Below are 23,490 nucleotides of genomic sequence, written 5' to 3'. Positions count from 1 at the left end.
ACCCTCTGTCTACTGCCTTCTGCTAGCCCTGCTTTGAAACAATACCCTTTTCTGGAAAAAAAAAAAAAAAAAACACAACCCTAAATCATAGCTACTTCTCTAGATAACAACCATTTTCTTTTCTTAAACGTTTTTAGGAATTAATAGAACTTTCTTGGAAAAATTTCCAAACTCGTTTCCACTGCGCTGAACGGACGATTTAAAAAGTAAATACTCAGAAGATACTAAGAAGATTCCGCTGGAGAGTCTCTTTTTATTGTGTTACGGGGTCTCCTAGCCCTCTCCTTTCTCCTACCCACGGCAGCCCATCTCTCTCCTCCAGGACCCCTTCTTTTTGGTATTTCCTGGAGTACGGATGAAAATGAATAGGTGAGCAGCCTCTGGGCTAGGCCAGGCACACAGGGGTCCCGAGTGACCTTGGGAGACTTGCGGGCTTCTGGAAGGAAGGCTCGGGCGGCCAAGCAGGAGTCGCCGCAGCGAGGAAGCGCCAGGAGGCGGCGGGGGCGACCCCGGGGGAAGGGCGGGCGGGGATGCGCCGAGGTTTCCGTGACTTGGGACTAGTCGCCCCGAGGCGCATTCTAACTGTCGGCTCCCCTGGCCCCAACGGCCAGAGAGAGAAGGGGGCGGATCCTCGCGTACCAGACACGCCCCGGTCGGGTATAAAATTCGCCAGGCGCTCGCTCCCCAGGCCACAGCCGCTCCCTCGCTCTGCTGGGGCCTCCGGACGCGCTTCCCACGCGGGTCTCTGGAACACTCGGTCCGAACGCACGCCTGCTTGCACTCACACTGCGGTTCACACCCGGAGGCGCTCTCGCACTCACACTGCCGCTCACGCGTGCTCACACTCCCCCACGCGCGCTCCGCTCCGGCTCCAGCCCCGCGCCCAGCGAAGGCGCAGGCACTGCTGCCGAGAGCGCCGAGGGGCCCCGCGGCCTTCCCATGGCGGACCTGAGCTTCATCGAAGATACCGTCGCCTTCCCCGAGAAGGAAGAGGATGAGGAGGAAGAAGAGGAGGGTGTGGAGTGGGGCTACGAGGAAGGTAAGTGGCCGCGAGTCGGGGTGTCCGGGGTCCCGCGGCGGCGTCAGTGTCTCGCCGAGCGCGGGACTCGAGTCCTGCTGCCGCTGCGCGCTCCGAGCACCCCCACGCCCCCTCTTTCCCACGGGGGTCTCTGCCACTTTCCCACTCCCCTGGTGCGTTTCGGGCGGGAGGCGCTCCAGGGAGGCGTGCTCGCCGCCTGCGCTCTTCCGCCGCCTGCGCTCTCACCCGGGAGCCTTCCGCAGGGCTGGCGTTCGCACCTGCTGCGGTCCGGAGGGCGGGCTAGCCTCCAAGCCGTGGCTGTACCTTTTATGTCTTCTGAGTAGTCAAGAAGAGCAGCGGTACATTTTACTAAACACCTGAGGAAGACAGTGTTAGCGTGAAGAATTCGTTTTTGGCTTGGAGACTTTGGGGAGAAAGTGTTTCTGCCTCTGGTCTTTTCGTGAAGCCTGCTAGCAATGCTCAAGTCTTTCTAAAACATGTCCTAAATTTCAGACTGAATCATTGGGTTTGGCGAGAAGCGGTTGACTTTCTGAAAAACTCGAGTTTCCTAGATTTATTCCTAAAGACCTAGGGCTCCTATTAGAGCCAACCAGTAGTGCTGATGTTTACTACATATGTTGAAACCAATATAGAATATATAATTTTAATTATAAAAAATTTGGAAAGACTATGGGAATATGTATGTACACAGATATATACATATGCACACTTTAAAATACTACACTTGCATTTCTGATAAGGGGCGTCTATTTACTAGCATGAGAGTTAGGGTTCTGACTGTCACTAAGTATGTTGAAAGTTACAGCTGTTTCCCAGGTACTGAACGTAATTGAACTAATAAGCAGAAGAAATTGTTCTGGTATTCTTTTTTCCTAATCACTTAAAAATGACCCAAATTTCCTAGAATCATAAATTATTATGTCTTTGTTGACAAATACAAATAGAATATTTTGCTAGTCCGGGATTTTGTGTATGGTATTTGATAATAACAGATCATTCAAATAATGAATGCAAAAACAAATAGAATTACCATATTTCATCTGTATAGTGATGGTATCATTACTCTCTTCATGATATCAAGGGTTCTAAGTGTTTAGTTTTTACATGTTAAATTTTACTGTAATTTATTTTTTAACCTGTTTTTAATTTATTTCATTTTGTTCTTAGGTGTTGAGTGGGGTCTGGTGTTTCCTGATGCTAATGGGGAATACCAGTCTCCTATTAACCTAAACTCAAGAGAGGCTAGGTATGACCCCTCGCTGTTGGATGTCCGCCTCTCCCCAAATTATGTGGTGTGCCGAGACTGTGAAGTCACCAATGATGGACATACCATTCAGGTTATCCTGAAGTCAAAATCAGGTATTTTAGAAAATATGTTTGTGTGGTCTTTTAAACTAGAAGTCAGCGTAGAGTTATTGAACTGTGATTTAACTTGCACAATTTAAAAAGTACAACTGACGTATCTCTATTTTCAGGATACCTTTGTATTATAATATAAAGCATTTTTGGGAATTACCTTCTGAAACAATTTTGAAAGGACAAAAGAGTGAAATTATGAAGATTATCAGTCGGTTGTTCTGCTTCTTATGATGTTACTGGAAAAACCTTAGTTTGATCACCTTATACCTTGTGAAATATGAGGACAGGTACATGCAGGTGCAGTAATCTGCGTTTTGTCCAAAATTGTTGATTAGCTTAAATCACTTAGATAATCATAATTCTCTGTTTTGCTACTTTGTGAAACCAAAGATTAGAATTTATTGACATAACGTGGCATTCAAGGTAGACTTCTCAGGTTAATTTTCTCTACTGTATTAGTTTGCCAAAAATAATTTTAACTAATAACAATAAGAAACAGCCTCTAAACTCAGCCAGAGATTTAAATGGTAAACAAACCTCTTCCTTTTATTTATTTATTTATTTATTTATTTAAGTTCCATCCCATGAAACTTCTCCTACCACTTGCAAACCTATTTGAGATGGATCTGAAATGTTCTGTGCAAAAGTTGTTAGGTAATTACCAAGGAAATCAGTTTTTGGCTTTATCGTAGGAAAGAGGAAATCAGATTTTTAAAAAATGTAGCATTAATAGCATGCATTTCATAGTGAATAATAACTGTCTTTTTCTTTTGGGAAAAATTAAAGTATGTTGAAATATTAGGACGTACTTGATAAATAGAGACTGTGCTCGAAAATTAATTCCAAGTTGATAAAGTTGATACCTCAAACTATAAAATCTTTAGGTTTGTTATTAATCAAGGCAGCTGTTGATTTCCAGCTATGGATTTATTTTATTCATTGTAAATGTTTCTAAGCTTTAATTTAGAATCCATGAGATAGTCATAGATTCATGTAGTCTCCTTCGCTGTTCTGAGTTTAGTCAGCATGTGAGCATTGCCCAAAAGAGTTACTGGGCTTTATATGTACTTAGTCAGAGTCAGTTTAAGATGGAAATTTCGACTTGAATTTTTTTGGGGGTGTGGGTTTAGCTTTGATGGGACATTACTTACTGTTTTTTAAAGGATATTGTAAAATTATTGAATGCTGACTGTTCTGGCATATAAAAAGCAATTTAAAGAAGTACATGTGTGTTGATGTGTTGAGATGCTTTGAACTTCCGGAAATAAATGTTTATATATCCACAAAACAAAAATACATTTCATGTCAGGTGCCATGATCAATATTGGTTGCATATAAATTTATAAGACAGTTCTTGAGGATTCATAGCCTAGTGAAAAGCCAGTTCTTTAAAGTACTAGTGTACACTTGATGTGGCAAGTGTTACAAAGGGTTGTGGGAGCAGAGAGCAATGACTAAGCACATATACTCCACTGCATCTGTGTGTGCCTAGTCCTGCTCTGAGATAAAATTTACTTCATCAATTTGAACTTACCATTTTCTTCTGCTACCTTCTCAAACACAATTTTCTTTAATCTTCTGCCTCACTCTAAAACAGAGACTATGGACCAACATCTGGGCCCTCTCACCATGAAGTGTGTTTCTTCCTCACCTAGCATTTTGTGCTTTTCTCTTCCTCCTTCTTCCACCCCTGCCCACTGAAGAAGAAGTGTCTGCACTTCTGTCTAGGCCTGATTTGGATACTCATGATCCAGAACCCTTTTTTCCTGCCTCCCTGGAGACCTTCCTCCTTCAGATTCCCCTTATCCTCTCTGTCATGGTAATAATTTCCTCCTTATTGTTCTTTCCCTTCCAATATTTCTGCAAACTCAAGAAAAGTAACCAAAATAACCATGTCTTGAGTAGTTGTTTTTTCCCCTAGGATATTTAAGCTCCTCAGAGGAACCATTTGTAAGCTCTATATACCCTGTCATTCGCTTATTTAAATAATGTTTTATCTTTATCAAAATAGAATATATACAAAATAGTTGAATAGGCTGGGTGTGATGGCTCACAAGTGTAATCCCAGCACTTTGGGAGGCTGAGGTGGGTGGATCAGTGGAGGTCAGGAGTTCGACACCAGCCTGACCAACATGGTGAAACCCCATCTCTACTAAAAAATCCAAAAATTAGCTGGGCATGGTGGCACACGCCTGTAATCCCAGCTACTTGGGGCGTTGAGGCAGGAGAATCACTTGAACCTGGGAGGCGGAGGTTGCAGTGAGCCGAGATTGCGCCATTGCTCTCCAGCCTGGGCGACAAAAGCAAAACTCCGTCTCAAAAAAAAAAAGGTGAATAATACTCTTTCTGCCTGTGGTTCTTTCTGCCTGTGGTTATCCCCTGCTCTTCCCCACCTACGGCTGCTGTTCCCTAGTAACAACTACTTTGAAACTTTCTAGCTGTTTCTCCTGTGGTTACCTCCAAGAATGTAAGAATATAATAATGCTGTTATGCTTTGGTAGTAAGCTATGTATGAACTCTCTACTATTGAAGACGAGGCCAATTTTCTTTCCTTTTTTTTTTTTTCTTTTGAGACAGAGTCTCGCTCTGTCGCCTAGGCTGGAGTGCAATGGTGCGTCTTGACTCACTGCAATCTCCACCTCCCAGGTTCAAGTGATTCTCTTGCCTCAGCCTCCCCAAGTAGCTGGGATTACAGGCGCCCGCCACCACACCAAGCTAATTTTTGTATTTTTAGTAGAGACGAGGTTTCACCATGTTGGTCAGGCTGGTCTCAAACTCCTGACCTCAGGTGATCCGCCCACCTCGGCCTCCCAAAGTGCTGGGATTACAGGTATGAGCCACAGCACCTGGACGAGGCCAGTTTTCTTATTGCCCTCTTTCTTATGATTTCACTCTCGTATTATCGCTGTATACTTAAATTAATTTTAAAAATCTGTATACATTTAGGGGGTACAAGTGCGGTTTTGTTTCTTGGATATATTGCATAGTGGTGGAGTCCGGGCTTTTAGTGTAACTGTCACCCAAATAGTGTACATTGTATCCATTATGTAATTTCTCATGCCTCATTCCCCTGGAGTCTACTTAAATTAATTTTTATTTAAATTAATACTCATTATTTTTATTATTACAACTGCAACTGTTGTTTCCAGCTGAGATTATATTTTGTCTCACTTAAACAGTGTTTTGTATTTTCCTGGAGTTAATGCATTTTTGTTAATTGAATTTTTTATCTGTCGGTAATTAATTTGCAAACTCTCTAACATATGACGGATCTTCTCTTAGGACATTAGCGTGCATCAGGTTGTCTTCCCTCCCTCGCTCCTCCTTGTCCTTTCTTTTTCCTGTGGAGGCTGCTTTTCTTTTCTGCTCTCCAGGCCTCTCCTAACAGCCTCTTCTCGCAGCTCCTTGGACCTCAAGCCTGGGAAGTCCCCTTGTTTGTCTCCTGTGTTAGATCGGATGTTTCCTGGATGCCGTGGAAGTCCCCTCGTTTGTCTCCTGTGTTAGATCGAATGTTTTCTGGATGCCGTGCCATCCTCTTTTTTGAGTTGCTCCGTCATCTCAGGGAATTTCTTGGTTTATTTGCTTGTACAGTTCATCTTCCAGGAACTTCCTGAGAAAAGGGGCAAGTGAGGGCTACATGCTTGGATGCCTATGTGTCTGTAAGTGTCTTTATTATACTTCACACTTGATTGGAGTTAGCCTGGAGCGGCAGTCTGGGTTGGAAGTATTCTTGACTTCGTTTGATGTTTGACATCATGATTACATTGCTTGAAGCTTCCAGCGTTGCAGTTGAAAGATCTAGCGCCGTTCTGCTTCTCAACCCCCTCTATGTGTCTCTTCTCTTTTTTCCTTTCTGGAACCTTTTACAGTGTTTTCTTTACTACTGTTGTTTTGAAATGTTACAACCATATGCCTTGGTGGGATTGTTTCTGCACTATATGCTGGGCACTTGGTAGGTTTTTCCAGTCAAGATAATTGTGTCTTTTATTTACCAGCAATTTTCTTATATTTCTTATATTATTTCATTGATAAATTTTGTATTTTTATTTTTTCCTCCTCTTTTGGTAACTCCCACTTTCTTCTTCCCTTTCTCTTCTACTTTCTAGTAGATTTCCTCAATTTTTAATCGTTTAGTCTTTTGATTGAACTCTTACTTTCTGCTTTCTTGTTTTTAATTTCTAAAACATTGAACTTACGCTGCAATTAAAAACCTTTTTTTTTAAAAAAAATACAACATCCAGTATTTATTTCATGAATGTATGATCTTTCTTCATTCTTTTCTATATTGCTTCTTTTCTATCCCTACCTGTCTCTGTTTACTCTGGGTTTCTTTTTCTATTTATATTGGCATCCCTCTTTTATTTCGGAGGTTCTCCTCAAAAGTCCAGTGATCTTTGGCTCTTCGTTCCTATTTAAGAATGAGTCTAGGAAGCAGATCAGAAGCTCTGTGCACCTGGGCAGGGATTGAGGGCTGTTGGGCTTCACAGTACCATGATCAAGAAAGGACCTGGCCATGTTGTTGGAGGAGTCTTTGTTGCTTATATTGGTTTATCTGGAATATGCTTGTTTCCTGTTTGTGTTTTTGTTTTGGGGTTGGGGATGGCTCAAGTTGGCCACCAGCTTTCTGGTTGTTGGCACAGACAGGAGACTATTACCATTTAGCAAGTCCACATTTCCTTCATCTTCTGCCAGGGATCTCATCATCATGCCTGACCATGCATGATGAGGTTTAACTGCTCCTTTTAAAAACTTTAAATCTGTTTTTCTGTTTTCAGTTTCCTACTTTGCACTGCCACATTCAGAAGTATCTCTAATGCTTCCACCTCCTGAGTCTTTTCTCGTGTCTTAGTCTGTTTGGCTACTATAATAAAATACTGTGGAGTAGGTAATTTATAAATAATAGAAATTTATTTGTCCTAGTTCTGGAGACTCGGAAGTCCAATATCAAGCTGCTGACAGATTTGGTGTCTGGTGAGGGCTCTTCCTCTGCTCTGTACATGGTGCTTCGGTGCTACGTCCTCACATGGTATGAGGCAGAAGGGTCAAACAGGCTCCCTGGAGCCCTTTTATAAGAGCCTCATCCCATTCTTAGAGCAGAGCCCTCATCCGATTTACCTGATCACCTCCTGGACATCTTATACTGTTGCATTGGGGATTCAGTTTCAACATGGATTTTGGAGGGGGATGCAGGCATTCAAACCATAGCATCTGGGTTCTGCGGTAGGAATTACCTGCCTCTTGTGGCCTTCTTCCTGTAGTTACTTAGCTTTTAGCTTTCTCTTTTTGCTGAATCACTCACTACCTTTGTCTGCTTTCCAGCACCACCCCCCTACCGCCGCCCATTATTTTGGGCATTTCTCTTTTGCTCTTGTTCTCCAGTCTTGTTCATGTTGCTCTGGCAAGTTGTGCCCTCTTCATTTAGTGAGAATTGAGGAGGGAGGGCAGATAAATGTTTTGAGTACAATCTTCCTTGTCTAACTGGAGGTACCCCCTGCAAATACAGTGGGCTGTCTTCTTAAATTAAAAAAAAAATCCACACAAGAAGCACAGTTCTTTTTAGAAATTAAAGCTGACTTCACACCACCACTGTGCTAAAACCTCAGCCCTCCCTGAGGCTGTCTTTGGCCTCAGTTATTTTGTTTTATTCTTTATTTTTGCTTAGTTTATATTAACAAATCATAAATAATTGCCAAAAAGGTTTAGAACAGTTGTAGTATAATTTAAATGCTTAAACTTATCAAACTAAAACTTCTAACATAATTGTAATGATATTGTTCCTGTATATATAATCCCATCTGGAGTTACTGCCTTAATATAAATTTGAGGGTTTTCAGGGGCATGAGCCCCTGCCCCCATCCCTCTCTGCTGGAACTTCTCAAGCCAAGGTCACTGATGAACTCATCATCCCCTAAATCCAATGGGCATTTTTATATTCTTACAGGACTTTAACTCTGCTGCACTGGAAATGGAATTTTTGGAAGTTTTCTCTCCTGTTAGTCTCTGGGCCACACAGTTCCCTGACACTTCTTCCTAATTTTGACTGCCTTTTCTCTGCTGGTGCTTCATCTTCCACTGTGCTTAAATAACAGGGTTTCTTAAGGTTTCCTTCTGAACCCTCTTCTCCTGCATGTACCCCATGAGCAGTGCATCTGCATAGACTGTGTGCTACTTTGTTCGTCTTCTTTTTCCCCATAAGAGAGCAAAGGAGCTTAGAAAAGGAGCCACAGTGATAGGCTCTCTGAGTGGCATGGGCCAGTGTAGCCTCCCATCTCAGACCCCTGGCAGGTGGGTGGGCAGCTTGAATAGCTCAGGGAAGGAAATCCATTTCTCACAAGAAAACCCATTTTGCTTTTGAGCAATTCCAAAAGTCAAAAAGTTCTATGATCTCCGCCATTGTCTCTCTTTAAGTCTCTGGACATATTTAGAACAAATATAATTATACTTCCACTTTCAAATACTGCAGTCATAACATGCAGTTGCCATTTTTCTTTTCAGACATTCTTAGTTCTTTCAGCTGTTGCTCACATGACAGCCTTTCATCCTTCAATACTTACTTATTGATAATTTACTATGGGAATTATAGACTCACTTGTCTTTTAGACCCAGGCAGATATAATACTATACATGAGAGCAACCAGGAGAGCAAGAGATTGTAAATAGCTACTGATCCTCTGCTTCATCTGCAGTGTCAATAGACAAGACAGTAGGGGCTGGTGGGGACTGCAGGAACTGGCAAGCTGCAGAGAGCAGGCCTACTTTGCCAGATGTTTAATGTGTCAGGAGAAACTGGAGATGTGCACCTGTGAACTAAACATACGTGTTCATTGGTTTCCTCTGGCCTGCAGGGTGAGGTTGGCAATCTTTGTTTCATCTTTTGCAAACAGTTACATGCTTTGGATAAGGTAAGTATAAATCAGATCCAAAGCCTGCCCTCAAGGAGGATACAATGGTAGGTCATGGAATATATTATAGCTATACAGGGAGAGATTATTTTTGGTGGAAATTCTTAGGGAAGGATTTGTGGAGGAAAGAGCATTTGAAATAATCCTTGATGGATGAATAGCATTTGGATATGGGGAGCCTGAGGTGTGTGGGAAGAAGGGACAGCTTGCACAAAGGATAAGATATGGAAAGTTCTAGAGGTTGTATGAGGAAAGGCCAATCCTTCAGTATGTCTGGAAGAGATTTGTTCATGATAAAGGGGGTTAACAGGAAATAGAATAGAGAGGGTATTATGGAGCAAATTCATGAGGGACTCTGCACAGAGGCTAAAGAGTAGAACCTTTCTTTTTTTTTTTTGTAGGATAAAGTCATAATTAGAACATTGCTTTAAGAAAATCAAGCTGGCAGCACTGAATGAGATGGGATCTGGGAGAGAGTGTGAGCCAGTTTGAAGGTTAGTACAAAAGACTCAACCAAAACCACAGGCATTGCAGTGTCAGTGGAAAAGGAGGGGAAGACACAGGAGTGATCTCTGCGATGCAATCTACAGAATGTCATGGGTCAGTTATGTGGAGCAGGGATGTGGAGGAGATCAGTGGAGAGAGATGGCTTGGATGGAGCCCCCGGTTTCAGATCCTGTCACTATTCTACCTCTGCTCTGGGCAAATTTCAAGGTAGCAGAGTCCCTCCCTCCTAACATGGAGTTGAAGCAAGCATCACATTCCAGGGTGATCTGACCAGACTATTGGTCCTATTATCTCCTAGAGCATGGAGAATTTTATTAAGGCTGCCACATGTATCATTTAGCTTCTCAGCAGGACAAGTGGGTCACTGTCTCTCAGGAATCTTGACATTTAAGGTACACAGGCAAATTAAAATTAAACATCTTTGCAGTGGTATAAAGAGGATTGTAAGCATAAAAAATAATTACAGATTTCTAGCCTGAGTGGCTTGATACTTAAGTAGTGAGAAAATGTGTGAGACTGCCCACACTTGTGCAGTAGTGTCACTCCAGCTGACTACAAGCAATGTCTTAAGGGTAATGACATTTTTAATCAACCATCATTATGGGAGAAATTGCCAATCAAGATAGGTCATTTGTGCCCTTCACTGTTTCTTATTATAGAAACTTTAATTAGGATATTTTATTTCTGGGTCTCTTGTAATTCTCAATACTAATTTTAGGATAGATGATGATGATTATTAATCCTACTTTTCCCCCCCAAACATGGCAACTTTTTAACAGTGTTTCTTGGCAACCTTGCTGATTTAAAGATGAAATTGTCAAAAATATCTTAAAAATTATTTTCACTGAAGAAGAGGCTCTATCTTTTTTATTTATATGAAATGTCAGGGCTGAACTTCTTTTTCCTTCTTTCTTTTCTCTCTCTCTGTCTCTCTTCTTTCTTTTTTTTTTCAGGCTCTCATTCTGTTGGCCACGCTGGAGTACAGTCATAGCTCACTGCAGCCTCCAAGTCCTGGGCTCAAGCAATCTGCCCACCTCAGCCTGTCTGGTAGCTGGGACTACAGGCCTGCCACCATGCCCAGCTAATTTTTAAATTTTTGGTAGAGACAGGGGTCTTGCTATGTTACCCAGGCTGGTCATGAAATCCTGGGCTCAAATGATCCTCCCGCCTTGGCTTCCCTTAGAACCGGGATTACAGGTGTGAGCCACTGTACCTGGCTGGATTAATGACTGTATTTATTATTGGCTAATTTTGGTGCATTTGAATTACCTGGTTAGTTCCTGTCATCTGCATCATTTTGCATGTGCTTCACTTTGCCCGGCCTGCTCTCTGTGCTATTGTTATGATCTCTACCCTTAAGAGCTGAAGATATTTAATAAAGCCATAGGTTAAAAGCCAAAGACAGTTTAAAAATATTGAAAAATTTTTGCTTTTAAGGCCTCAAATGTTAAAAAAAGAACTAAATGATACTATTTTGGGGAAGTTTTAGAGATAACATTGGAATTTCTTAAAAGTTACTTTGAGGTTATAAAGTCTTTAAATCCATTAAGAATGAACCCTTTGGAGCTGGGCATGGTGGCTCATGCCTGTAATCTACGCACTTTGGGAGGCCAAGGCAGGTGGCTCACTTGAGGTCAGGAGTTGAAGACCAGTCTGGCCAACATGGTGAAACCCCGTCTCTAGTAAAAATACAAAAATTAGCCAGGCATGGTGGTGCACACCTATAATCTCTGCTACTAGGGAGACTGAGGCAGGAGAATCTCTTGAACCTGGGAGGCGGAGGTTGCAGTGAGCCGAGATCACACCACTGCACTCCAGCCTGGATGACAGAGCAAGACTCCATCTCAAAAAGACGTATATAAATAAATAAGTAGGTAAGTAAGTAAATAAAATAAGAATGAATCCTTTGGATCCTTCGGGTGGTGTACCAGGGACCCACTGGTGTGGGGTTTCCTCTGTGTTGACGGTGTGGCTCTGCAGGCTTCATCTCCTGGCCTCACCATCTGTAACTGGGCATGATAGCAGCTTTCTTACTGGTTAGGCTTACCCTTTGTTATTCTGTCATCTGTGCAGATACTGCACGAATAATACTTTAAATTGCAGATATGATCATGTTAGTCCCCTGATTAAAAGCCCTCAATGGTTCTGGACAGGAGAAATCCCAGCTCGTAAGCATAGGCTGCATGTCTCCTCCTCATGCCCACCTTGACTGTAGCTAACTTTTGATTTTATTCTCCTAGAACACTCTTAAGCTGCTTCATGTCTCAGAATATTTCTCAGGCTCTTCGCTCTACTCTCCATGCACTTTTCACCTCTCAGCTTATTCAAGACTCAGCTGAGTTGGTATCTTCTGGGGAACATCTTACCTGACTTTATGATTCATGCTTGTTATTGGCTTGTCCGTTGCTGGATGCCCTCCTGCTACCCTTTCCTGCTCTTGATGTGTTCTATTTAGACTATTCAGTTTACTTTTTTAACCACTGAGACTGCCCAGTCAACACCAAGGCTGGATCTTCCTCGCTTTATACACTCAGTGGCCAGCACAGGGCCAGGTGTCGAGTTGATCTCAAAACTTAGCTTTGAAGTCAAATGAAAAGGAATAAGGCTTGAGCACTAGCCTTTGAATTATCTGGTAAATTTGTTTTCAGCAAAGGATTGTAGAAGCTTAGATAGATTTAGATAAATGTATATACATCATGTCTTTATAGGGTTTTCAGATCTTACAAAAGCTTCCTCAGGGAGCTCTTGTTTATGTCTTATAAATGCAATTGCCAAGCGTATTAAAGAGCATTAAAGAAAATGGAGGCTGTGGCAATGGCATCAGTTTATTTTATATTCTTTTCACAAGTTCCTTTTCTAAAAAAATTCAGCCTGTCATCAGTAGGAGTTTCATGTTCTTTCATTGTAACTTTATTGAACCAGATGACATCATAACTAATAAACCTGCCATGTAGTGACCCAATATCACTCAGCAAAATTTGATTTTCATAAATGTAGGAAAAGGCTACCCCTTCTGAGATGATTTGTTTTTTTATTTAAAAAAATGTAAGCAGTAAAAAGGGAGAATAATGCTGGAAGAGGGTTACCAGATGGATAAAATAGAAGCTGCTATTTATTTTTAGTCCATAAACACAATCATTCTTGGGGGATGAACAGGTAATGCTCTTACCTGGCACCTCGTAAAACTCTGAATTGAGAATTTTGTCATTTTTTATGGCATTGTATGGCTATATGACTTTAGTGTGGTTTATTTTGGATTATTCATCTGCAGCAACAGTGAAAGGTACCCAGAGCCTGGTTCCTGGCTGACAGCCACCTCTTTGTCACCTCTCCCTGGAGAACCAGGCTGGGGCAAAACACTTCCCTTCTCAGTGTTCCTTTCATACCATAGAATATAATTACTTTATTGTAATTGTATTGACTGTCATGACATGACAGTTAATAAACCTGTGTAGTAACCAGATAGGACTCAGAAAAAATATGATCTTGATAAATATATGAATTTACACTTCAGGATAATAGAATGTAAGATCTACAAGGCCAGGGAATTTTGTCTGTTTTGTCAAAATCAATGTATTCTAAATACTTAATACAGTACCTGGTACAAGGTAGTAGATGATCAAAACAATATCTGTTGGAAGGATTAGTAAACTTCCCTGGATTTTGAAGTTCTCCCTATCAAAACATGGGTCTGTGCAGTTTGAATTTCCACAGTGTTTCACTTAAACCGTCTCCAAGTTTAAGTGAAAGGGTTCATTGCTGTTAAGGAAGTTTTGAGCATTGGTCATGCGGGGAGTATATTTTTGAAGCATGGATCTCTTTATGGTTCCCTGAAATCACTGTCAAGACCAGCTACAAGCTGTATCATTCATTTCCATATGACAGTACTTAGTAGACTGCTGTTTACTAGTAGAACTAGTAAGCTGCTTTGTAACAGAGCAGTTTTAGAAATACTGTGTGCCTTTGTGTGTGTGTGTTCTGAGTGTATGTGATAAAGGGGTTTTGGGGAAGGAGTTTTAAGAATCCTCTTTCCCATTTCACATGTGCTTCATTTCATGACACTCCTCTTTCTTTTTCCTTAGCCACGTGGAGCTGAGCCTTTTCTAGGACAGTTTTATCACTTTGTTTTAGAAGTGGAGTTATAGAGCTCACCTGTTGAGGCCTTGGGTCCCACTGTTGCTGGGGGTGGCAAGGGGTGTATTTTCTCTTTCTCTTTTTTCATTTTGGTTTGGGAGGTGGGGTACACAGTGGGTAGACTCCTGGTCTCCTTCCTGGTTTTTCTTAAGACCAAATTTGGACAGCCAAGAGAAAGGAATGAGTTGTGAGGTTGTTTAGAAACGTTTCATACATTCTTAAATCCACAGAATGGATGTTTATTGAAGAGGAAGGTGAAGTGAGCTTGCACTGTGGTTCTGAATATCTACAAACCTTTCTGATCCATATATTAAAAGTTTTTTAGATTGTTCTGGGAAATAGGATGAAGTGCAGTTCTCCAAGGAGCAACTTCACTTTATAAATCTAGGCTTAGATAATTCATTGTTTTTTAGTTCATGCTCACAGATACTGAAATTTGGGTTTCCCTATCCCTGCCTCAACCCTGGGATGTGGGTCAGAAGATTTGAGTTCCAGATCCTGTCCTGGAGCCTGCTAGGAGGCTGACTGTGGCAGGTCACATTCAGCCCCTCTTCATCCCGCTTTTCTGCCCTGTCTGTGGAGTTGATGATGAGACTATCCCCTTGGATTTGTTGTGTGACCTAAATCAGACCAAGCATGAGGACAAACACTAAAATCTAAAATCATACATGACAGTGTGATCCTAAGGGCCATGAATCTCACTTCCCTTTCCTGTTGATGTGAAGTGTATCCACTCAAAAAATTAAAGTTACTTCTTGCTCTGGATGTTCCTTGTCTTCGTTGTTTGAGCTGGTAGAAAGCTTGGGAGTAGATTTGTAGGGCACCTTTATCAAGGACTCCATGACCTCCATTGTGTCTAATAGCCTCATTTCTCCATCTATTTTCTGCCTCTTTCTTGGCTTCCCCTTGTTCTTCTTCCTAATTTATGCTGTCTGACTGTATTATATGTACCTTGACATAAGCAGCCTTAAATCCTTTTTGAAACAAGTCATTAGATGAAGAACCAACCAAACAAGTAAATATTGTTGCACCAATTTGCTTTCTTCTCCTTTGAGTTTTTGGGTAAGGATGAAAGAACTCTTCCTCGAGAGAGGTGTGGAATCTGTTATGTCCTCCTCAAAGGCAACCCAAAAGGACAATCTGTTTCAAAAAGTCTGCTTCTAGGAAAGATGAAGGTGTTGAATTTTGTTAGCTAAATAACCTAAAATGCTTAGCTGATACTGTTCAGAATTGGGAGTTGCTAGAGGAAAAATGCCCTGAGTTAAACAACTTTTATTTGTATTGAAATTGACCATTTATTTGTAGGAAACTTTATTTCAAGTTTGTACATATGCTGTCAGGGAGTTTTTAACTAAATAATTTTATTGTTTTAAGACAGGTTCTCATGCAAATGTATTTTTCATTATCCTTTAGTGTGCTCTTGTTGGGGATAAAGGTCTTGATCATATCCAGCAATGAGAAATAGAGACATGGTCCTGTGGGACTGATGTTAATATTTTGAGGATTGTTAATATTTTATTGCAGTTTTATTTTGTGTCGTTTGTGGTAATGAATGTCCATCAGCTATTAAAGTGTGATTTCATTATTGATTGACTTAATGCTAATCAATCCTCTTCATGGATAATTTTGTTAGTCCACACACCCGTTCGCTAAATTGGAAGCCTTCTAGTACAAGTGGATGATCTGCAAACGTGGTTTAATTTATTTAGATGTCTACAGAATATTATTGGTCAGTCAGAGAGTCAAACCATATTTTTGTCTCCTGATCAGTGCTAAGCTTAAATCTCTAAGGGAGGAATTTGTTTTTCTTGTCTACTTCTAGACTGAAAACACACAGGAAATTAAAATATGCATATCATTATGAGTTTTTCAGAGGTTTTGAACTTCCGTGTCTGAATGGCCAATACAAGAATTTCAGCCAAGCCTAGATAGTTTAAATTCACCTCACAGTTGTGATAAATTTCTCATTTTGGCTTTGTGAATTTAATCTGTAGAGCCCATGAGAGCATTTTGGTGGAAAAAAAAAAAGTCTCTAATGTTTATAATGCTGAGGTAAATGTGTGCTGTAATTCGGTAACATATATTTTCTTTTTCAGTTCTTTCGGGAGGACCATTGCCTCAAGGGCATGAATTTGAACTGTACGAAGTGAGATTTCACTGGGGAAGAGAAAACCAGCGTGGTTCTGAGCACACGGTTAATTTCAAAGCTTTTCCCATGGAGGTAAGAATAACAAATCATCTTGTAAAAATCTTGTTTTCTGAATAAAGTATTCAGCGATTTACTGAAAATGATTTAGTTTAAAAGTAGATGCATAGCTCTTGAATTTTATCAGTTTATACTAAAATTTAAAAAATGCTTAATGCAATGGAAGCCTAGGGCAGCACATGAAACCTCCTGTCTACTCTCGTGGCTTGGCGTGTGCGCATGAGCACATGGCCAGAAAGGCAATCTACAGTATTAAATTTCACCCTAGTGTTACTATTCTTGTAAAAATTCTGCCTCTGCAAATTCAGTAGGTCATTTTTGTGGATGCTTTGGATAGGTGACGAGCTGAAGACAAGCAACCGTTGGAGAAACCTCAACAGTAATGAAAAGTGTAGGTTTGCTAGTTTAAAATTGGTGGGTTGGTTTTATTCACCCCAAGCCACTTGGGGAGGGAGGGAGAAAGAGAGATTTTTTGAGAGTGATTCTTTTGTCCAAAGAATTCCCTCCCCGACTTACGTTCTTAGTTAACTTCTGCTGTTTCTTTGATACGCAGTTGAAATCTTATGTCTTCTGTGGGACTTTTCTCTAGTTTTTTCCCTAGGCAGAATTCATCTCTCTCTCTCTGCTCCCTGTATGCTTGATAGGGCACTGCCATGGCGCTGGCCCCATGGGTTGTACCATTTAGTCTCCACAGCGTCTTTCTTGCTGCCTGTGAGCTCCTGAGGACCGAAGCTCCCTCTCACCCCCTTTTTACTCCCATCATTTGCCCACTGCCAGGCACAGTGGAGATAGACAGTTCACACTGGTGAAAGTGAGGGGATGTTGGATTCAGTCCACGTCTTGATGTTATTTCTAGAAGGAACCTCAGTTTACCCCAGAAAATAGCCCTTTGGTGTCATGTAAGAGTATGTTCTGGGGGCTGCTGGTCTTCCAGTCTTTTTTTTTGACATTCACAACTGTGCATGTGCTTAATATTAAATATAAAATTGCTCATGACCAGATGCAATATCCAGTACCACTTCAGTGGCTGGAAATCATGGCTGTATAATTCTATGTCAGTGATACATGTATTTTAGAGTATTCTGTTGAAGTGTTTGACAGCATTACTGTAATTATAATAAAAAAATCTCTGGAAGCTCAGGATATCTCTTTCATTAAAAATAAAAGACGTGAACCTTAGAAGTGAAATGTTCATGTTTTAAGGCTGGAGAGAAGAAAACCAAACCAGCATGTTGAAGAGTGGAGGAGGTGTGCAGTGGTGTGGACAGTAAGGAGAAGCACTTTCTCAAAGGCCTTGATGGGGAAGGCCCCCAGAGCTTACCTGTCTAGGAGCTGTTTGCTCAGTGCCTATAGACATCCTCTCCTTTCTACTGCCTGTGACACTTCTGTGTCACCTCTCTCTCCTGTCCCATCCTCAGCCAACCTGACAAGGAAAAATTCATACCAGAATGCATCAAAAAGGAAAGAAGACACAAAATAATCCAAGACAGTTAACCCCACTGGGTCGCGGGTCACAAAGTGAGGGGCAGGACCACCCTGGACTGTCAGCGCCTTTGCCCTGCCTCCCTCTTTGGGTTTGAAAGGCCATTTCATCATTTCATCTCAGCCCCCAAAGACAGACTCTAGTAACAAAAGTTCTAGGGAAAGGTAGCTGTAAATGGGGAGGCGAGAACTTCTGGATGAGAATTCCATGGCTTTGCTTGTGACATGCAGAACTTAAAAGCTGTAGGAAACGTAATTAGCGAGCTGTGCTCTTTGCTCTGTACTGAGATAGCATTTCCGGACCGAATGTCCAGACTGGTCTGGTTACTTGGTGACGTTTCAGCAGCTCCGGTCCATTAAGCACAGGTAATGGTTTGTTTTGAATGAAGATTAAATCCTGGTAGTGAGGCTTTGTTTCTGCAGAAATATTTGTATTTAGGATAATGGAATTGCTGACTATGATTTTTCCAAAATATGTGGTGAATAATATTTATATTCTTTTTTATCCCAGATTATCCCTGATCCAATTCCAGAGAAAATACTTGTATCAGTCATCCAGTGTTCACTTAGTGCTCTATCCTGTTGAGTGCATAAATGCTGTGGTTATGCAGAACTAGAAGGAGATCTCTGCAAGCCAGGATTGTTTATTGATATATTTTTGTGGAGACTATGAAAACTGAGGTGGGTTCTGAGGAGGAGAGGGCTCTTGTGGTATGGTGAAAGAGAGGAGAGAGGGTTTCCATGTGGAAGAACATCCTGGGACTGGGGACGAGTTGGCTCATACAGGGGACTACAGGTCCCCTGGTTCTGAACTGCCACCAAGGGCCACCTCAAGCACAGGGGCATGGCCAGCAGCACAGTGTAGAGTAAGACCAGGTACCCTTTTGGGAACATGGTTTTTTTTCCAGTGTTTTTTGTTTTTTGTTTTTTTTGAGGTCATGTTCCATATTTTACTTACATTTTAAGACTGACTTTTTTTTTTTCTCAAAATCACACATCCATGCACCTTTTTCTTTTTTGTTGATTTCATTGAAAATTAAATGGCTGGCTTGTTAGACAGACAGACACTATAAGCAAATACTTACTCTGTCTGTTACATGGAACACACAGGAATTACCTTTTTTTTTTTTTTTTTTAAGATGGAGTCTTGCCCTGTCGCCCAGGCTAGAGTGCAGTGGCACAGTCTCGGCTCTCTGCAGCTTCCGCCTCCCAGTTTCAGGTGATTATGTGCCTCAGCCTCCATGGTAGCTGGGATAATAGGTGCATGCCAGCACACCAGGCTAAATTTTGTAGTTCACCATGTTGACCAGGCTGGTCTCGAACTCCTGACCTCAGGTTATCTGCCCGTCTCAGCCTTCCAAATTGCTGGGATTACAGGCGTGAGCCACCGTGCCTGGCCAGGAACAGCTTTTAATAGAAATCCATCGAGCTGTCTTCCCTCACCTTTTAGAAATTATAAATATAACAACAGCCCTAAAGAGATTTTTGATACTCCCAGTAGTCAGCACTGACATGGTTTCAAAACTTAACACAATTTGGGACTTTAAATGGTTTAAACTGCTGCTCTACACTAAGCAAGATGTATTTGTGTTTTTCCTTCTTGATACCTGTAGGTTTCAGAAACACACATCTTTCCACAGCCATCTGACACACTGCTTATCATGCTCTCATCTGGTAAATCTGAATTCTATTGTGAATACTCCAGGTTTATGCTTAAATGACAGTGCCTTAGCAAGAGAACGATATAATCATGCTACATTTTTCCTCCTGTTACCTGAAAGGGTCTCACTATGTTGCCCAGAGTACATTTGAGCTGGTCTCAAGGGACCCTCCTGCCTCAGCTTCCTGAGTAGCTGGGACTATATTTGTGTGCCACTGCACCCAGCACCAGCTGGAATCCTTTTCCATAATGTGTGGGTGTTTTGCATTGTGATATTCAGTCAAGACATTAATGTGAGTAGAAGATTATTGATTTAAGACAAGTTTGAGTTCAACTAAAATTAATTCTTGTGTGTTTGTTCTGGTGGCTGTGGAAAGCTCCTTATTTTCTTTGAACTTTGTTGGATGTCTTAGCTTGTGAAGTCTAACTTTAATGCTATATGATTTTTTTTTTTTTTTTTTTGCCATTTTGCTAACACACTAGTACACTCTATGCATTCACCATTCCACTGGAACTGTTTATTCCCTTCACATTAACTTCAGATTTAAGGCTCTTGGGTATTTAGGCTCACAGGTTCACATTCTGCATTCAGGCTGTATATTCTATGTGTGTCATTTGTGGACACTGCCATCTTTGCTGCTTCAAAGTAGCCTAACTCTGTGGACTGTGTAATTTTTGGTAAATTAGGATGAATTTTTATACACGAATAGCTACTCTCATAATTCCAGGGAAGAGAGCTTCTCAGGCATTTAGATTTTTCTGGATCAGTGCAATTTACAAAAAAGTGGGGCTGGGCACAGTGGCTCACACCTGTAATCCCAGCACTTTGGGAGGCCGAGGCGGGCGGATCATGAGGTCAGGAGATTGAGACCATCCTGGCTAATATGGTGGAACCCCGTCTCTACTAAAAATGCAAAAATTAGCCGGGTGTGGTGACGGGCGCCTGTAGTCCCAGCTACTTGGGAGGCCGAGGCAGGAGAATGGCGTGAACCCGGGAGGCGGAGCTTGCAGTGAGCCACCATCACGCCACTGCACTCCAGCCTGGGCGAAAGTGATGGGGAGACCAACAGTGTGTCAAGTTTTAATTTTTCCAGTTAAGAACATTACTCTCTGCTGTCTTCATCATTTTATAAAGAGAGGATCTTTAATAGCCAAATGTAGGAAGGATGTGATCTCAAAATAAGGCATGGACTCATAAATTGGATAGATTTAGGTTTTTAAAAATGTATATTATTTAAATTTTTCTTGCATCACTACAGATGAATGATAATTTTGTCAGGGATAGGCACTGATCCTGCCCACAGACTAGCAGGAGATCATGTATGGGGAACCTGACTTTCTTGCCTTCTGGGCCTAAAAGCTATGATTGAAGAGTGAATTGCCAAAAAGGAGGTCTAGCCATATTGTATGTTGGACCCTTATCTTTCTTTATATTGTATTTAAAGAGCATCTGTTGCTCTGTGTACTCTGAAAGGACTTAGTGATGATTGTGCCACATACCAGCTGTTGATGGAAAGTTGGGTGCATTAGGTAAATAGAAAAAAAATTCATTGTACAGGGCAAGATGCTTTAATTGTGAAGAGTCCAGGCCTTGGTTGCAAAATAGGCCAACAAAAATATTCTGAAGACTTTATCTCGTAATATATTGCTAATCCTTAAACTATATTTGGCCCCTGTGCCAGGTCGCCAGATATCCCACATTTCTTCTTCTCTTTCCAGGCGGCACATGGTAGCATCTAGTATTTAGTGTTCTCTTAGTAAAAGTGAATGGTCTTTAAGATTGCTGCTCCCCAAGTCATTTGCATGTTCACCTCCCAGAAAGATTTATTTTTATTCATGTATTTTACTATTCTAAGGAGATCCCAGGAAGAGTTTGCCTGGTTAATAGTGAAATTATAACCTTTCAAGTTATTTAACTTTCAGGAACATCTCAAATAGCACTTCATGTTTGTTGAACCTCTTCTAAAATAAGGGATTTCCATTGATTTTCCAAGGAGATGTAATGGGATGACTTTAGTTTGAGAGTGAACATTCTGAAGATTAGATACAAGATATATCACTAAAGAAATATAGATTTAAAAGGAACTTTCAAGATCATCTAGTCCAAACTCCTATCTAGCAAAGAAGAAATCTAAGAGTTCAAAAGGTCAAATTGCACAGGATCATTTATAGGAAACCATATGTATGGCCTGGATGAAGAAGAGTATCATCTGGTTAATTAAATATTTCATTTAAGGATTATCCTCTATGGTGCTCTTTTTGCTTATGGTTTAGTTGCAGAGAGACAACACAATGGGCTTTGTCCTTGCACCCCCTAATGATATAAGGAGTTTTGATGTCTGTAAGCACCCCACATTCAGAAGGGGACTGCTTTCACCTTCCACAGGAGGGTGGTAGTGAGGCTGTGGCACCCTGCCCCTGCCTTACAGGCTGTGAAGTTAGAGTGGCTTTGTGACAGCAGAGGAGGGGTGTGTGTTGCAAAGTTGGAATCCCTGCTACCTCCAAGAATGGGGTCGAAGGGGTGGTGGATTTAGTAGATAGCCTACTCCTGCCCACTTTACAGAGATGCTTACTGCGGTCTGGGGAGGAGGGAGGTTAGCTCAGGGCCACAACCTCAGAAATGGCCCATGAACTGACTTCTGCTCTAGGCAGTGCTTTTTTTCACCTTCCACAGACAATTATTATCAGGAAAATCAACTCTAGTTTGAAATTTTATTTGCAGCTCTAGTTAATACTTTGGATTGAGGTTGCTTTGGGAGTAAAAAGAAAGGTTTGTATTAAGAGGAGTTAGGACTGACACTAAAGGAAATGATTTGAAATTTGAATGTTCAGCTCTTCTGGAAAGTCTCATTATTTTGACCAGAAAAAAGGAACAACTTGTCTCTAAATGTAATAATTATTATGATGATGATTATTTGGTATCCTGGAATCTCCTATAGAGCTAGCAGATTGAGCCTGTGTATAAACAGATGAAGGCGTTAGAGCCTTGTGCAGTGGCCTCTCCAGAAGTCATGATTGCAGAATCTCCCTCTCACATCTTGGCAAAAAAAAAAAAAAGCAAACAAATTTTATGTTTCCTGAATTCTAATGAACACTTGCATTTTTACTTCATAAAAATCATGGTTTCTGCTTTGATTCAGCATATTTATTTTTACATTTCATGCAGAAACCTCACAGTTTACTGAGTAGAAAATAAATTACAATGTTGAACAAACAGAAATGTTCTTTTAGCTGTATTCCCTCTCAGAAGTGAATAAGGCCAACTTGACCTTTGAGAAGCCACTTTGAAGCTACCTTTGATTTTATATTTGTTAGTATTTCTTTTAGTAGTTCATTCTTTGCCATTGTTTGAGGATATACAAAAGGTTGTTTTGGCAAACTAAATTTGCAAAAAAGCATTTATATTATAGCTGATTTTATGATAGAAGGCAGATTTGTAGAAAAACTGAAAATTAGTTCCTATAATATGTAATTAATGTATGGGTAAGGTTATAGATACTGCAGTAGAAAATATTTTCAATTGGGTTCTGACAGATCTAAATTCTGCAGTAAAATACATTTTCTGTCAATATATTTTCAGATAATAAATAGCCTCTGATTTGAATATATAGTCCATAACTGGGTGGCCATCTAAATAACTCATATCCATGTATTCATTCTTTTATTTGTCTGTCCGTCCACCCATCCATCCATCCAAAGTATTTCATATTTAGGCCCTGGACTAAGTGCTAAGGAGACAGCTATGAGTACAATAGACAACTCAGGGAGTTTTTCATGCAGTGGGGGAGTTCGAATGCAATTTGTGATTTTTCTCCTACTCACTTTTTTTCTAAATGGGCGAGTATTTAGAACAGGGGTCCTGAAGTCCTGGGCCATGGACTGGTACCTGGCCTGTTAGGAACCTGGCTGCACAGCACAAGGTGAGTGGTGGGCCAGTGAGCATTACCTCCTGAGTCCGCCTCCTGTTGGATCAGCGGTGGCATTAAATTTTCATAGGAGCATGAACCCTATTGTGAACTGCGCATGTGAGGGATCTACGTTGCACACTCCTGATGAGAATTTAATGCCTGATGATCTGTTACTGTCTCCCATCACCCCTAGATGGGACCATCCAGTTGCAGGAAAACAAGCTCAGGGCTCTCACTGATTCTACATTATGGTGAGTTGTATAATTATTTCCTTATATATTACAATGTAATAA

General features: G+C 41.1%; 1 protein-coding gene across 5 annotated transcripts in view, besides 2 other annotated features; it reads left to right on the top strand.

The window, feature by feature from the left end:
* Window positions 504-712: a silencer, noted in NCBI's record as "fragment chr8:61193934-61194142 (GRCh37/hg19 assembly coordinates)". NCBI's record gives its function as "represses an EF-1alpha promoter that drives an FKBP-Casp9 reporter gene in an ReSE screen in K562 erythroleukemia cells {active_cell/tissue: K562}" and the evidence as "EXISTENCE:reporter gene assay evidence [ECO:0000049][PMID:32094911]".
* Window positions 687-23,490, top strand: part of CA8 (carbonic anhydrase 8) — a 95,989-nt gene continuing 73,185 nt past the window's right edge. For all 5 annotated transcript variants that reach the window (NR_135821.2, NM_001321839.2, NM_004056.6 and 2 more), the window contains exons 1-3: window positions 687-1,039; window positions 2,207-2,398; window positions 16,038-16,162. Coding sequence is in view for 4 of the 5 variants with exons in the window: in NM_001321839.2 (NP_001308768.1) it covers window positions 940-1,039; window positions 2,207-2,398; window positions 16,038-16,162 (417 nt within the window). In the remaining variant the exon portion in view is untranslated. The remainder of the gene's footprint in view (window positions 1,040-2,206; window positions 2,399-16,037; window positions 16,163-23,490) is intronic.
* Window positions 705-1,211: an enhancer, noted in NCBI's record as "H3K4me1 hESC enhancer chr8:61193435-61193941 (GRCh37/hg19 assembly coordinates)". NCBI's record gives its function as "activates a minimal SCP1, AML or CMV promoter by ChIP-STARR-seq in naive H9 embryonic stem cells {active_cell/tissue: H9 hESC(naive)}" and the evidence as "EXISTENCE:reporter gene assay evidence [ECO:0000049][PMID:30033119]".

The sequence above is a fragment of the Homo sapiens genome, chromosome 8, assembly GCF_000001405.40.
Source record: "Homo sapiens chromosome 8, GRCh38.p14 Primary Assembly".
Lineage (NCBI taxonomy): Eukaryota > Metazoa > Chordata > Mammalia > Primates > Hominidae > Homo > Homo sapiens.
The sequence above is the reverse complement of the archived record's forward strand: the minus strand, read 5'-3'. Positions and strand labels throughout refer to the sequence as shown.